Source organism: Homo sapiens, chromosome 6 (assembly GCF_000001405.40).
Source record: "Homo sapiens chromosome 6, GRCh38.p14 Primary Assembly".
NCBI lineage: Eukaryota > Metazoa > Chordata > Mammalia > Primates > Hominidae > Homo > Homo sapiens.
This window is the reverse complement of record NC_000006.12, coordinates 144,109,389-144,126,427: the sequence shown is the minus strand read 5'-3', so window position 1 is coordinate 144,126,427 and position 17,039 is coordinate 144,109,389. Positions and strand designations below refer to the sequence as shown.

The 17,039-nt window shown below is 40.9% G+C and overlaps 1 long non-coding RNA gene across 2 annotated transcripts; it reads right to left on the bottom strand.

Moving 5' to 3' along the window:
- Window positions 1–1,001: 1,001 nt before the first annotated feature.
- Window positions 1,002–16,038, bottom strand: LOC105378036 (uncharacterized). Of its 2 annotated transcripts, XR_001744405.2 has the most exons (5): window positions 15,799–16,038; window positions 14,995–15,166; window positions 13,498–13,575; window positions 1,634–1,803; window positions 1,002–1,182 (listed from the first exon to the last, which is right to left on the bottom strand). It is a non-coding gene; the product is annotated as an uncharacterized LOC105378036 (long non-coding RNA). The 2 variants fall into 2 exon arrangements; XR_943089.3 differs by having other exon boundaries at window positions 1,002–1,803.
- Window positions 16,039–17,039: the final 1,001 nt, after the last annotated feature.

The following is a 17,039-nucleotide window of genomic DNA, read 5'->3' as shown; positions in this document are numbered from 1 at the left end:
GCTAATCTATGGAAAAATAAAATAAAACTGTGTTTTTTTCATTTTCTTCACCAAAATAAACTGTAGAATGCAAAGTTCAGAATTGGTATTCAGTAAGTATCTGTTAAGTTGGATCAGTGATTTAAATATATAAAAGACATAGAGTTTATTTGTTGTTGTTGAGAGTTGTGGCTAATACAGAAATCTGAAGACAACAGGTGTTAATGACCCCCTTTTGGAAGCCTCTAGCTCTAGGGGCAGCCACCTTTCCAATGGCCACTCGAGAGGCGCCAAGGCAGAAACAACACTATCAACAACAACATATCCCCTTGCCTATGTAGGATGACCAGGAGAGAGTGCTGCTTTTGAGGGAAGTCCAGCGTTCTTGGAGAGAAGCTACTCACCTCATAGAGATGTTTAGAGGCTTCAATAAGACAGTGCATATAAAGGGCGTAACAATCTGCCCAGTGCACAGTAAGTGCTCCATGATGTTTAGTTCTTGGAGTGCTTTGTCTGCCCAGGGAGTTTAACCAGGAAAGACACCATCGGATTTATATATGTGTTTGAGAGAGCATTAATAGCATGAACAAAGAAATGAGTGGACAAACTTTTGTAGGAAAACAAAACTCTGTGAGAATGCCGAAGATCATTTCAGGACTAGGTAGGTCTTGAAGGTGAGATCTTTCTAATCAGAAGGAATAGTAAGAGCAAAAACATGGGAGTTGTGAAAGGGCTGTGGGCATCTTCAGGGAATGATAGCCCCTTCCTGCTGCCTTATTTCAGTCCAGGTCCCCTCTCAAACCAGGTGGCTGCCGTGGTCTCCTAAGGTGTGTTGTTGCTTGAAGCATTGCGTGTCTGCAGTTCTTTCAAGACATGGCGGGCATAGAATCTCTTGCAATAGATGATATTCATCATTTCATTCCCCCGCATAAAACTTTTTGTGGCTCTTCACAGCTTATGGAAGGATAATGTAAAAATTAGGATTAGGATTAGCTACAAATGACAGAAAGACACCATAAAAATGGCTTAAGCAAGACAGAAGTTTATTTCTCTCAGATAAAGTTCCAAAGGGAATCAGTCCAGGTCCCATATGGCAAACCATGGTGTCAGGGAGTCAGGGTCCTTCTAGGTTGTGCTTGGCTTCCATCTTGAACTCACCTCACCACCCAAATGGCTGCTCCAGTTGTAGCCACCATGGCCAGCCTCCAACCATCAGAAAGGAGAAAAGATAAAGAAAAGTGAATCCCTTCCGTTAGGGTCATTCTGCAGAAGTTGCAGAGACTGCTTCCATTTATGTCTGCTAGCCAGACCTTAGACACATGACCCCATCTAACTGCCAAGGAGGCAGGGATTAATCTTTATGCCGAATGGAGATGCACCCAGTGAAAGGTGAGGGGGGTTATAAGTAAAGCAAGAAGGAACAAACAGACATTGGGAGACAACACAATATCTCCACCACAGGTGCCCATTTCTTCAAGGTCCTTTGAAATGTGACCTCCTCTCCCACCTAGACTATTTCTACAGCCACCGAACTAGTCTAACTGCCTCTACTTTCTAATTCTCCTTAGTCACTATCATAGCCATCAATTCAAAATACATACTGAATTGAATTACTCTCCTGTCCCACACTCTTCATTGGCTCCCTATTACTTACAGATGAAGTCCAAACCATTTGGCTTAATGGAGCATTAAGAGTCCCCGTAGTACCATTTCAGCTTGATCTTCTTCCTTCCTTCTCTTCTTTCCTCCTCTCCTCTGCTAGCTGTTCTCTGAACACACCATGAGCTTTCAGTTCTCCATTACCTGTTTCATGAAAGAAAGACCCTTCCCCAGAATGATCACCCTAAAGGGCCGTCACCAACTTCTGAAATGCTGCACAGACTTCTAAGCCTACCCCAAATATCATTTCTTTTATAAATTCCTTTTTCATCACATTAAAAGTAATCCACACCTTCACTGAATAGTCAGTTTTTATGCTGCCTTCCATTGTAATAAATTATACATTTTTCATATTCATTACCACAATTACATTGTAATTTACATAGTATTCACTACATCTTCTTCACATTTGTAGTCCTGGAAGCACCTAGTCACTGAATTTTTACCTAACAGCTGCATAATACATATTTATTAAATTGAATTTGTATGTAGGCCTTGAATTTATAGAAGGAAAGGAAAAAAAGCTCAAGTCAGCTCTCTTGGGGTAAAGCACTCATTTAAACTGGATTAAATGCTTTATCAACAATCTAGTATTATTTATTACACAATTCTCCCTAAGTCCCATTTGGAATTGTTTTGAGTGATTCGTGTTAATAATACAAAGCTTAATATGGATTTGCATCAGGAAGAACAATTTGTAAGAGCTGACTATTTTCAGCTCTAACAAGGAAGTGACAGTTTTTCAATTTTTTAGCAGAAGTGTTAAAACTTATCTCAGTCAAACACTTGCTGGGTCATTTGGTATGTCACTCACGTTATTTAACTTTCTATTTTAACCTCTCAGGCCTATATGGAAATAAGAAAAAAAATTATAGTTTTAATTGCTGCTAATTTTCTGGCAGAAGATAGAAATAAAAATAGTCTCAATGCTGAATAGTTAATGTGTTTTATGACCACAGGCCTTTTCCGTGTTAATTTTTGTCCATGTTGGCTAATTTTACTAGCTGTTTATTGAGTTCAGACAGGAAAAATAAGGCTATAATATTTGAAACGAAGAAAAAGCTCTCAATTAACATTAATAAATTGCCTGAAAATGAACCTCACATTGGCCTTATATAGACACCTCTTCCTGAAAAATAGGACTTCATGCTAGCTCTTTTGTAAGTTTAAGCTATTTGTTCCCGGGTCTGTTCCTCTTCTGTGGACTCTCTGACCTCTTCTTGTGCCCACAGTTCTTTTTACTGAGCTGATTATAATGATCTCATGCACTTTGTATTAACCTCAATTTTATGGGAAAAATTGGAACACCAATCAGAGCTCAGGATCACACATCACTCCAGCTGAATCCTAAGCCAGAAGAAAGTTTAGTGAAATATATGGGTGAAATGAAAATAAACTATCAATCAAGCCAATAGTTTTTCTAGTTGGGATGGACTTCAGGAGATTGTAAGAGCAGTGGCCCCTATTAAATCAAGTGGAGGTGCCAGAGTTGCCAGGCAGAGTGGAGGAAGGGATTGAAAGGCCCACCAAAGTGTACATGCTAAACAGGGTCTACTATGTGAAACTGGAAACTTATCAGCTAAATATGATTCTTGAAAGAGTATGGAGGACTTATGCATCAAGGCAATAAGGAAATTGCTGGTAGAGGACACCAGTGTCATTGAGGTGAGTGGTGGCTCTCCTCTGTAGACCAGAGTTGATGATAAGAGATGCTATTTCAGAACTAGGGTCCCTAGTAGTCATGGAGATGATAGGATTCCAGAGGCCACACAGTAGCATGCTACCACCAACAGTGAACAAGCAAAACCACCCTCAGATTTCTGACCACCAGAAACTCTGTGGGATAATTAAAAGTCCTAGCCAGAGCAATTAGGCAAGAGAAAGAAATAAAAGGCATCCAAATCAGAAAAAAATTGTCTCTGTTTGCAGGCAACGTAATCTTATACACCAAAAACCCTAAAGACACCACCAAGAAAAAGCTGTTGAACTAAAAAAAGTTTCAGTAAATTGCAGGATACAAAATCAATATACAAAAATTAGTAGTGTTTCTACACATTAACAATGAGCTATCTGAAAAAGAAATTAAAAAGACAATCCCATCTACAGTAGCATCAAAAAATAAAATAGGAGTAAATTTAGCCAAGGAGGTGAAAGATCTGTACACTGAAAACTATTAAACACTGATGAAAAAAATTGAAGGAGACACAAATAAATGGAAAGATATCTCACATTCCTGGATTAGAAGAATTAATATAGTTAAAATGTCCATACTACCCAGAGTGAATTACAGATTCAGTGAAATTCCTATCAAAATTCCAATGACATTTTTGAGAGAAATAGAAAAAAACAGTCCTAAAATTCATATGGAACCATGAAAGACCCCAAATAGCCAAAGAAATCCTGGGCAAAAAGAACAAAGCTGGAGGCATCATACTACCTGACTTCAAGATATACTACAAAGCTATAATAATCTAAACATCATGGTACTGGCATAAAAACAGACACTTAGACCAATGGAACAGAATGGAGAGCCCAGAAATAGATTCACACATTTACTCTCAATTGATTTTGGACAAAGATGCCAAGAAAACACAATGAAAAATGAACTGTCTCTTCAGTAAATGGCGTTGGGAAATATGGATACCTACATGCACAAGAATTAAATTAGACCCTTATCTCACACCATATGCAAAACATCAATTCAAAGTGGACTAAGGACTTAAACATATGGCCTGAAACTGTAAAACTACTAGAAGATACCAGAAGACAAAAGCTCCATGACATTGTTCTGGGCAATGATCTTTTGGCTATAACCTCCAAAGCAGGGGCAACAAAAGCAAAAATAGATCAATGAGATTACATCAAACTGAGAAGCTTCTGCACAGCAAAGAAAATATCAACAGTGTGGAGAGACAACCTACAGAATGGAAGAAAATATTTGCACACCATACATTTGATAAGGGGTTAATATGCAAAATATACAAGGAACTCAAACAATAGATGCTAAGAAACACCTCAAACAACTCAATACTAAGAAAACAAATAATCCAATTTAAAAATAGATAAAGGACCTGAACAGTCATTTCTCGTAAAAAAGTCATACACATGGCCAATAGATATATTTTTTAAAAACTCAATATCACTAATCATCATCACATTGAAATCACAATAAGATATCACCTCACATTTCTTAGAATGGCTGTTATCAAAAAAATGAAAGATAGGGAAACCCCCTTTGGGTCCCCTCCCTTTGTATGGGAGCTCTGTTTTCACTCTATTAAATCTTGCAACTGCACACTCTTCTGGTCCGTGTTTGTTACGGCTTGAGCTGAGCTTTCACTCACCATCCACCACTGCTGTTTGCCACTGTCGCAGACCCACCGCTGACTTCCACCCCTCCGGATCCAGCAGGGTTTCCGCTGTGCTTATGATCCAGCGAGACGCCCATTGCCACTCCCAATCTGGCTAAAAGCTTGCCATTGTTCCTGCACGGCTAAGTGCCCAGGTTCATTCTAAGCAAACTGAATAGTAGTTGCTGGGTTCTACGGTTCTCTTCCATAACCCACGGCTTCTAATAGAGCTATAACACTCACCACATGGCCCAAGATTCCATTCCTTGGAATCCGTGAGGCCAAGAACCCCAAGTCAGAGAACAAGAGGCTTGCTGCCATCTTGGAAGCGGCCTGCCACCATCTTGGGAGCTCTAAGAACAAGAACCCCCAGTAACTTTTTGGTGACCATGAAGGGACCTCCAAAGCAATGGGAAACTTTCCCCCCAAGGCAAAAATGCCCCTAAGATGTATTCTGGAGAATTGGGACCAATTTGACCCTCAGACGCTAAGAAAGAAAAAACTTATATTCTTCTGCAGTACCGCCTGGCCAAGATATTCTCTTCAAGGGGGAGAAATCTTGCCTCCTGAGGAAAGTATAAATTATAACACCATCTTACAGCTAGACCTCTTTTGTAGAAAAGAAGGCAAATAGAGTGAAGTGCCATATGTACAAACTTTCTTTTCATTAAGAGACAACTCGCAATTATGTAAAAAGTGTGATTTATGCCCTACAGGAAGCCCTCAGAGTCTACCTCCCTATCCCGGTGTCCCCCTGACTCCTTTCCCAACAAATAAGGACCCCCCTTCAACCCAAACGGTCCAAAAGAAGATAGACAAAGGGGTAAACAATGAACCAAAAAGTGCCAATATTCCCCAATTATGCCCCCTCCAAGTCGTGGGAGGAAGAGAATTCGGCCCAGCCGGAGTGCATGTACCTTTTTCTCTCTCAGATTTGAAGCAAATTAAAATAGACCTAGGTAAATTATCAGATAACCCTGATGGCTATATTGATGTTTTACAAAGGTACGACACTCCTTTGATCTGACATGGAGAGATATAATGTTACTGCTGGATCAGATACTAATCACAAATGAGAGAAGTGCCACCATAACTGCAGCCCGAGAGTTTGGCGATCTCTGATATCTCAGTCAGGTCAATGATAGGATGACAACAGAGGAAAGAACAATTCCCCACAGGCCAGCAGGCAGTTCTCAGTGTAGACCCTGACTGGGACACAGAATCAGAACATGGAGATTGGTGCCGCAGACATTTGTTAACTTGCATGCTAGAAGGACTAAGGAAAACTAGGAAAAAGCCTATAAATTATTCAATAATGTCCACTATAACACAGGGAGAGGAAGAAAATCCTACTGCCTTTCTGGAGAGACTAAGGGAGGCATTGAGGAAGCATACCTCTCTGTCATCTGACTCTATTGAAGGCCAACCTATCTTAAAGGATAAGTTTATCACTCAGTCAGCTGCAAACATTAGGAAAAAACTTCAAAAGTCCGCCTTAGGCCCAGAGCAAAACTTAGAAACCCTATTGAACTTGGCCACCTTGGTTTTTTATAATAGAGATCAGGAGGAGCAGGCAGAACGGGACAAACGGGATTAAAAAAAAGGCCACCGCTTTAGTCATGGCTCTCAGGCAAGAGGACTTTGGAGGCTCTAGAAAAGGGAAAAGCTGGGCAAATCAAATGCCTAATAGGGCTTGCTTCCAGTGTGGTCTACAAGGATGCTTTAAAAAAGATTGTCCAAATAAAAATAAGCCGCCCCCTCATTCATGCCCCTTATGTCAAGGGAATCACTGGAAGGCCCACTGCCCCAGAGGACGAAGGTCCTCTGAGTCAGAAGCCACTAACCAGATGATCCAGCAGCATGACTAAGGGTGGCCGGGGCAAGCGCCAGCCCATGCCATCACCATCACAGATCCCCAGGTATGCTTGACCATTGAGGGCCAGGAGGTTAACTGCCTCCTGGACACTGGCATGGACTTCTCAGTCTTATTCTCCTGTCCCAGACAACTGTCCTCCAGATCTGTCACCATCCGAGGGGTCCTAGGACAGCCAGTCACTAGATACTTCTCCCAGCCACTAAGTTGTGACTGGGGAACTTTACTCTTTTCACATGCTTTTCTAATTATGCCTGAAAGTCCCACTCCCTTGTTAGGGAGAGACATTCTAGCAAAAGCAGGGGCCAATATACACCTGAACATAGGAGAAGGAACACCCGTTTGTTGTCCCCTGCTTGAGGAAGGAATTAATCCTGAAGTCTAGGCAACAGAAGGACAATATGGACGAGCAAAGAATGCCTGTCCTGTTCAAGTTAAACTAAAGGATTCCGCCTCCTTTCCCTACAAAAGGCAGTACCCCCTTAGACCCAAGGCCCAGCAAGGACTCCAAAAGATTGTTAAGGACCTAAAAGCCCAAGGCCTAGTAAAACCATGCAATAGCCCCTGCAATACTCCAATTTAAGGAGTACAGAAACCCAACAGACAGTGGAGGTTAGTGCAAGATCTCAGGATCATCAATGAGGCTGTTGTCCCTCTATACCAAGCTGTACGTAACCCTTATACTCTGCTTTCCCAAATACCAGAGGAAACAGGGTGGTTTACAGTCCTGGACCTTAAGGATGCCCTTTTCTGCATCGCTGTACATCCTGACTCTCAATTCTTGCTTGCCTTTGAAGATCCTTTGAACCCAACGTCTCAACTCACCTGGACTGTTTTACCCCAAGGGTTCAGGGATAGCCCCCATCTATTTGGCCAGGCATTAGCCCAAGACTTGAGCCAGTTCTCATACCTGGACACTCTTGTCCTTCGGTACGTGGATGATTTACTTTTAGCCGCCCCTTCAGAAACCTTGTGCCATCAAGCCACCCAAGTACTCTTAAATTTCCTCGCCACCTGTGGCTACAAGGTTTCCAAACTAAAGGCTCAGATCTGCTCACAGCAGGTTAAATACTTAGGGCTAAAACTATCCAAAGGCACCAGGGCCCTCAGTGAGGAACGTATCCAGCCTATATTGGCTTATCCTCATCCTAAAACCCGAAAACAACTAAGAGGGCTCCTTGGCATCACAGGCTTCTGCCAAATATGGATTCCCAGGTACAGCGAAATAGCCAGGCCATTACATACACTAATTAAGAAAACTCAGAAAGCCAATACCCATTTAGTAAGATGGACACCTGAAGCAGAAGCAGCTTTTCAGGTCTTAAAGAAGGCCCTAACCCAAGCCCCAGTGTTAAGCTTGCCAACGGGGCAAGACTTTTTCCTTATATGTCACAGAAAAAACAGGAATAGCTCTAGGAGTCCTTACACAGGTCCAAGGGACGAGCTTGCAACCCGTGGCATACCTGAGAAAGGAAAGTGATGTGGTGGCAAAGGGTTGGCCTCATTGTTTACAGGTAGTGGCAGCAGTAGCAGTCTTAGTATCTGAAGCAGTTAAAATAATACAGGGAAGAGATCTTACTGTGTGGACATCTCATGATGTAAAATCACATACTCACTGATAAAGGAGACTTGTGGCTGTCAGACAACCATTTGCTTAAATATCAGGCTCTATTACTTGAAGGGCCAGTGCTGTGACTGCACACTTGTGCAACTCTTAACCCAGCCACATTTCTTCCAGACAATGAAGAAGAGATAGAACATAACTGTCAACAGGTGATTGCTCAAACCTATGCCACTCGAGGGGACCATCTAGAGGTTCCTTGACTGATCCTGCCCTCAACTTGTATATTGATGGAAGTTCCTCTGTAGAAAAAGGACTTTGAAAAGTGGGGTATGCAGTGGTCAGTGATAATGGAATACTTGAAAGTAATCCCCTCACTCCAGGAACTAGCGCTCAGCTGGCGGAACTAATAGCCCTTATTTGGGCACTAGAATTAGGGGAAGGAAAAAGGGTAAATATATAAACAGACTCTAAGTATGCTTACCTAGTCCTCCATGCCCACACAGCACTATGGAGAGGAAAGGAATTCCTGACTTCCGACGGAATACCTATCAAACATCAGGAAGCCATTAGGAGATTATTATTGGCTGTACAGAAACCTAAAGAGGTGGCAGTCTTACACTGCCAGGGTCATCAGAAAGGAAAGGAAAGGGAAATAGAAGGGAACCGCCAAGTGGATATTGAAGCCGAAAAAGCTGCAACGCAGGACCCTCCATTAGAACTGCTTATAGAAGGACCCCTAGTATGGGGTAATCCCCTCTGGGAAACCAAACCCCAGTATGCAACAGGAGAAATAGAATGGGGAACCCCACGAGGACATAGTTTTCTCCCCTCAGGATGGCTAGCCACCAAAGAAGGAAAAATACTTTTGCCCTCAGCTAACCAATGGAAATTACTTAAAACCCTTCACCAAACCTTCCACTTAGGCATTGATAGCACCCATCAGATGGCCAAATTATTATTTACTAGACCAGGCCTTTTCAAAACTATCAAGCAGATAGTCAGGGCCTGTGAAGTGTGCCAAAGAAATAATCCCCTGCACTGCCGGCCATACATTCCTATCCCTGTGTCTTTAACCTCCTTGTTAAGTTTATGTCTTCCAGAATCGAAGCTGTAAGACTACAAATTGTTCTTCAAATGGAGCCCCAGATGCAGTCCATGACTAAGATCTACCACGGACCCCTGGACTGGCCTGCTAGACCGTGCTCCAATGTTAATGACATGGAAGGCACCCCTCCTGAGGAAATCTCAACTGCACGACCCCTACTATGCCTCAATTCAGCAGGAAGCAGTTAAGAGCGGTTGTCGGCCAATCTCCCTAATAGCACTTGGGTTTTCCTGTTGAGAAGGGGGACTGAGAGTCAGGACTAGCTGGATTTCCTAGGCCGACTAAGAATCCCTAAGCCTAGCTGGGAAGGTGACCACATCCACCTTTAAACACGGGGCTTGCAACTTAGCTCACACCTGACCAATCAGGTAGTAAAGAGAGCTCACTAAAATGCTAATTAGGGTAAAACAGGAGGTAAAGAAATGGCCAATCATCTATCACCTGAGAGCACAGGGGGAGGGACAATGATTGGGATATAAACCCAGGCATTCGAGCAGGGAGCAGCAACCCCCTTGGGGTCCCCTCCCTTTGTATGAGAGCTCTGTTTTCACTCTATTAAATCTTGCAACTGCAAAAAAAAAAAAAAAAAGATGAAAGATAAGTGTTGGTGAGGATATGGAAAAAAGGGAACCCTTTTACATTGTTTGTGGGAATGTAAATTAGTACAGCCATTATGAAAAACAGTAGAGAGGTTTCTCAAAAAATTAAAAATAGAGCTACCATATGATCCAGCAATCTCGCTACTGGGAATATATCCAAAGGCAATGAAATCAGTATGTCGAAGAGCTAATCTGCACTCCCATGTTGATTGCGGCACTAATAACAATAACCAAGATATTCAATCAAGCTAAGTGTCCACCAACTGATGAATAGATAAAGAAAATGTGGTGTATGCCTATGCACAGTGGAATACTATTCTGCCATAAAAAAAAAATCCTGTCATTTGGGACAACATGGAAAAACCCAGAGGATTATGTTAGGTGAAATAAGCCAGGGACAGAGACAAATACTGCCTGACCTCACTCATATGTAGAATCTAAAGAAGTTGATCTCATTGAAGTTGAATAATGGTTCCCAGAGGCCAGGAGGGTAGTGAGGAGGAGTGGGGATGGGGAATGTTGGTCAACAGGTATAATGTTACAGCTAGATAGGATGAATAAGTTCTGGTGTTCTACTGCACAACAGAGTGATTATAGTTAACAATAATGTATTGTATATTTCAAAATAGCTAGAAGAGAGGATTGTGAATGTTTTCACAACAAAAAAAGATAGATATGTAAGGTGATGGATATGCTACTTACCCTGATTTGAACTTTTCACAATGTATACATGTATCAAAACATATTATTGTACTCCATAAATAATACGTATAATTACGTGTCAATTGAAAATGAAATAAAACTTTAAAAGGAAAATATGGTATGTATACACCTGCACACACACATATACACACAGACACACAAACTGGAATATTATTCAGCCTTGAAAAAGAAAGAAATTTGCCACAACATGGATCAACCTGGAAGACATTATGTTAAGTGAAATAAACCAGAAAGAAAGAAACACAAATATCACACGAAACACTTGTATGTGGAATTTTTAAAAGTTGAACTCACAGAAGCAGAGAATAGAATGGTGATTATCAGGAACTAGCATGGAGAGGGCTGAGGATTGAGGAGATATTGGGCAAAGAATATAAAATTTCAGCCAGTCAGGAAGAACAAGTTCAAGATATCTATTGTACAATAAGATAACTATAGTTAATAACAATGTATGATATATTTGAAAATTGCTAACAGAGTAAATGTTAAGTGTTCTCACTGCAAATAAATGGTATGTGAGGCAATGCATTTATTAATTAGCTTGATTTAGCCATTTTACAACCCATTCATATTTCAAAACATCATATTGTACACCATAAATATATGTAATTTTAATTTGCCAATTTAAAAATAAAAAAGAAGAAAGCTCATTTTGATCACCCCCAAAGGATGCCTTATGCCCCAGTAAGTCCCCAGCCACAGAGGCAATCATTTTTCTGATTTATTTTACCAATAATTAGTTTTGCCTAATCTAAAAATTCATATAAATTGAATAGCTCATTTTAAAAAATAGAATAAAATGTTCTAAGGGATAAGATAGATGTGCAGCCATCAAGGATATTGCTCAATATATATAAAATCAAAAGAAAAACCAAGAGTAGATGAGCGGAAGACTGTGGTCAGCTACTCCAATAGAAAGTCAGGATTCCTTGCCCAGTTTACAAACCTCAGGTAGTTTTCAAACCCACTACAGAACATTCCCCTTGACTGAAAGAGAGGCCAGGTCCACATGAAGAAGGACACTGCAACACCAGGACAAATGTATACAGTAGCGATTCCTCTAGCTATTCCCCAAAAGGTCTTTGGCTATACACTAGGGTATCATGCTCTGGAAATGGGAATACATAGCTTTTATGAGGACTGTTAGATATACGGTCTGAATTGATGCAGATACCTAGAGAACAAAAGCATCTTCATGGACTTCTTGGTAGAGCAGAAGTATATGAGGTTCAAGTAATTAATGGAGTCCTAGCTGGACACATGTGTCCTCTGGTCTACAGATTCACACAGAGATCATTTTCCCAGTTTCTGAATGTATAATTGGAACAGACATATTAGGATTTTACAGAACCTTCATATTATTTCATTGACTTATAGAGTAAGAGCTATTGTAGTAGGAATGGCAAGTAGAAGCCCCTAAAACTACATTCTCACCCCATTGCCAAGACTATAAATCAAAAGCAACGTTGCATCCCAGGAGTGACATGGCAGAGTTTAGCATCACCCTGAGAAATTTAAAGGATATAGGGGTGCTGGATTTCATTATAAACCCATATAATTCACCATTCGGCCCCCTAGAAAATCAGGTGAATCAGAGCATATGACCTTGAACTACTACAAACTTCTCCAAGTAGTAACTTCAATAACATCTTCTGTATTCGATGTGACATCTTTACTATAGCAGATTAACACTACTGCTTGTGTGGTTAGTGGCTATTGATCTGCTTCCATTTTGCTCTCTATCATTCAGAAGGACAAGAAACACACACGGGATGGCTAACAGTTACACACTCACGGTCTTGTCCAAGCACTATGTCAATTCTCTAGATCTCTGCCGTGATAGTGCAAAGGGTTCTGGGCCATCTGAACAGTCCACAGAACTTCACTTGGGGTCACTAAGTGGGTGACATCATGTTATTTGGACCTTAGGAGCAAGAAATGGCGATTATTCTGGACGTCTTATTAAGACACGTAATCTAAACGGAGGAAGAAAAACACTACAAAGATTCAGCAGCCATACACTTCAATAAAGTTTTTAGGCATCCACATGCTGGAATATGCTGAGACATCCCTTCCAAGGTAAACGACAAGTTTCTATACATCACACCTTCCTTTACAGGCCATTTTGGAGGCAAAATATATAAAACACTTGGGAATACTCTTCAACAAACTGTTGGAATAATCTGGAAACTGTTAATTTTGACTTGGGCCAAGAACGAAAAAGACTCTGAAGCAGGTTCCTGCTGTGTTCCAAGCAACCCTGAAGCTTGGGTCCAACAATATAAACTCTGTCTCACCATGGCTGATCTACCTACTGTTGCTGCTAGATGTCTAAACTTTCAGCAACAAAGATCACTCCCGAGTACTTGATATGGTACCATTCCTTCTTTTTCCCCTCACCCTTATAGAGGTATACCTGACACATAAAAATTTTATGTATCTAAGGTGTCCATGTGGAGATCTGATGTACATACACACTGTGTAATGATGATCACAATCAAGCTAATTAATACACCTATCATCTCTACCTTTTCATGGTAGAAAAACGCTTAAGTAGATCTTAGCAATCTTGAAAGCAAATTTCAAGTATAAAATACAGTATCAATTATAGTCACCATGCTGTATATCAGATCCCTAGAACTTACTTTTCTTATTGGTATTCTTCCTTCAGATGACCAACTAGTCATTCGGCGGCCTATTGTTTATATCAGTTCCATTCAACTCTGGAAAAAAAAATTTATCTTGAATGGGATTGACACATATTCCAGATATGTTTTTACTTTTCCTGCCTGTAGTGCCTCAGCTATCTCCACTGTGTGCAAGCTCATAAAGTGTATGACCTACTGACCTGGGATGGCGCCTAACATTGTCTTTGAACCACGAGACTGTCTTCATAGCAACTGAGGTATGGCATTGGGCATGTGGTTGTGGATCATGCACCATCTAGAAACTGCCATCATGAAAGAGTAGTGAAATTGCCTCTTGAAGTTACAGCTAAAGTGCTGGCTGGGAGATGACACCCTGCAAAAGATAGGGCACTATCCTCAGGTTACAGAACAGACCTTCAAGCATCTGCCACTGTATGTGGTGCTATATTCCCAGTATATAGAATACATGGAGCTGGGAATGAAGTGAAAGTTGGAATGGTTCCACCATCACTCCCAGTGACCTATTTGGGGAATTACTTGTAAAGATCCTGATTCCCAGAGGAGTGATGCTTCCTCCAAGCAACACAGTAAAATAATCCCAAATTGTTTTCCAAAGTGACTGTACAGGTCAGGTGCGGTGGCTGTGTCTGTAATCCCAGCACTTTGGGAGGCCGAGGCTGGCAGATTGCTTGAGTCCGGGAATTCAAGACCAGCCTGGCCAACATGGTGAAACCCCGTCCCTATTAAAAATACAAAAATTAGCCAGGCATGGTGGCATGCTCCTGCAGTCCCAGCTACTTGGGAGGCTGAGATGGGAAAAACACTTGAACCTGAGAGGCAGAGATTAAAGTGAGCTGAGATTGTGCCACTGCACTCCAGCCTGGGTGACAGAGTGAGACCCTGTCTCAAAAAACAAAACAAAACAACAAAAAGAAACTGGCTGTACAAGTTACAGTATATTCCCACCAAAAATTAGAACTCTTCATCAACACTTGATATTATGAAACTTTAAAAAGTTTGCTAATACAGTAGGTACTCAGTGACATCTTATTTTAATTAGCATTTCTCTGTTTATTAATTATGTGAAGAACACTTTTCCATGTTTAGTAACCATTTGGATTTTCTCTATTGTGAAATGCATAATCAAGTCGTTTGCCTAGTTTTAGTTAGGGTTTCTGCCTTTTTTCTTACCAAATTACCAAAGGAGTTCTTTATATGATTGGAAACAAGTTTTGTTGTTGATAGTTGGTTACCTAAGTTGCAAATATCTCCTGCCAGTCTATGGCTTGTATTTTTATTCTTTTAATGGCATTTTTGTGGAACAGAAGTGTTTTGTTTTCATGTAATTTATTGTACTAATCTATACTTTTACGGTTAGTGTTTTTGTGTCTCATTTAAGAAACCTTTCGCCACCCTCCCAGGTCACGAAGATATTCTTCTGTATTAATCATTGGATAACTTAACAATTTGTAACATATTAGATCTCATATTCACCTGGAATTGACTTTTGTGTGAGTTAGGAGTTCAATTTCTTCTTTTTCCAGCATGGTACGCAATTGTCCTAGTGCCACTTATTGGAAAGACTTTTTTCTCCCGCTGCCCTGCAGTGCACCTTTATTGTACATCAAGCATTCATTTATGTGTGGACCATTTTATTTTCTTGTTGCTGGAATATAGAAGAAGCATTACTTTCTAATATTGACTTTGTATACAGCAAACCCCCTTAAATATTTTAAACTGCATTAATGGGCTTAATATATTTGATTTATTTTTAGCATTTCAAATGCCTGAACAAGCAAGCCCCGATCTTGTTTTTAAAACCTTCCACAGCACTTCAAAGGCTCTCGTAAATCTCAAGTAATAAATTTGATAAATCCATTTCTCTTAAATATTATGCCACTTACACTTTTGCTCATATTCTTACTTTTTAAAATTTGAAATTATGTAAATTACATGTTTTAAATAAATGGAATCACAAGACATCTGTAAGGTAGTCTAATACGGCAAATTCTTTTAAATATTATAAACACTTCAAAGAAAATAATAAAAAGATTATTCCTAAGCCTAACATGAAAGTATTCATACGGGTGGCATGATATAATTTACCAGCTTTGCATTTAATTATAAATCTTCGATTTGAAAAGTCACTTGCTTAGTAAAGGAAGCAGCTTTAACATCACAAGTTAAAGAAGCTTTAATATCACAAGATCAGATGTTCTATTTCAAAAGAACTGAGGTTACCACCTGGAGCAAGTCATTGTTAATAAATATACAATTTATGACCATAAGGTTACTTACCAGTATGACATTTGAGACTGGAATGGCAACATGGGAGACATTTAGGTACAAGATCATCTTTTCTGAACCAAAGATGGACACCTGAGTCCTTTAAAAAATCATCTCTAAGTTACGAGGGAGCTCTAAGCCCAAACTCTTCAGATGGAATTTCTCAACCTGCCTCTCCGAGTTCACGAGTCGAACACCCCAGCCAAGAGCCATTCCCTAGGCACACTGCAGGCCCAGTGCTATGCACCTGAGCAGCAAAGTGAGCCTTTGGGAGGGCAGATGCAGGAAAGAAACCTGCGCAAAGCCCTGGATGTGGGCTTGGGACTATTCATACTTGGAATTTCTGTTTCCAAATTTAATCTGTGTGAGTCCAAGCCAGGGATTGAGGGAGTGGGGAGCATGGGGGTGTGGACCTAGGTGGGAATGTCCCCTTGACCCGTAGACTCTGCAGCTCATGCGAGGGTGAAGCTCACAGAGGAGTCCAAACAGGTCCCTCTAAAGTGAGGGGCGCGGGGAAAGCCCCACTCTTGCCTTGGTCTTAGGGCAGAACCGCACTAAAACTAGGACAAAATTCCATGTGCTTTTCTTGCCTTTTTAAGTAAAGTGATTAAGCGGATAGAAAGACCGTCTAGCAAATCAAGAGATCCAAAAATAGAGATGAAGGGTATGAAGCCAAAGCAGAATTTCTCTATCTTGAGGACCCTGAAGACGGGGCTTTGACTGAAAGTATTTTTACGTTTCTGACAGAATAAATATGTTCCTCAGACAACTAAAGCAACTAACTCACTGAAGCTCATTATTTAGGCGGTCCTCAGCAGCCTGCTGGAATGTCTTTATAAGAGGGATTTAGAAGCAAACATCCACTTAGAAGGAGGGAGACTTGAAACTGCTTTGCATAGTGGCTTACATAAGCTGAAGAAAATGTCAAAAGAATGGGTGGGGAAATAGCACCATGGACACCGATAAAGATTTTTTTTTTTTTTTTCTGAGACGGAGTTTCGCTCTTGTTGCCCAGGCTGGAGTGCAGTGTCATGATCTCAGCTCACTGCAACCTCCGCCTCCCAGGTTCAAGCGATTCTCCTGCCTCAGCCTCCCGAGTGGCTGGGATTACAGGCACGTGCCACCATGCCAGGCTGATTTTGTATTTTTAGTAGAGATGGGGTTTCTCCATGTTGGCCAGGCTGGTCTTGAACTCCTGACCCAAGTGCCGGGATTACAGGCTTGAGCCACCGTGCCTGGTTGACAAAGATTCT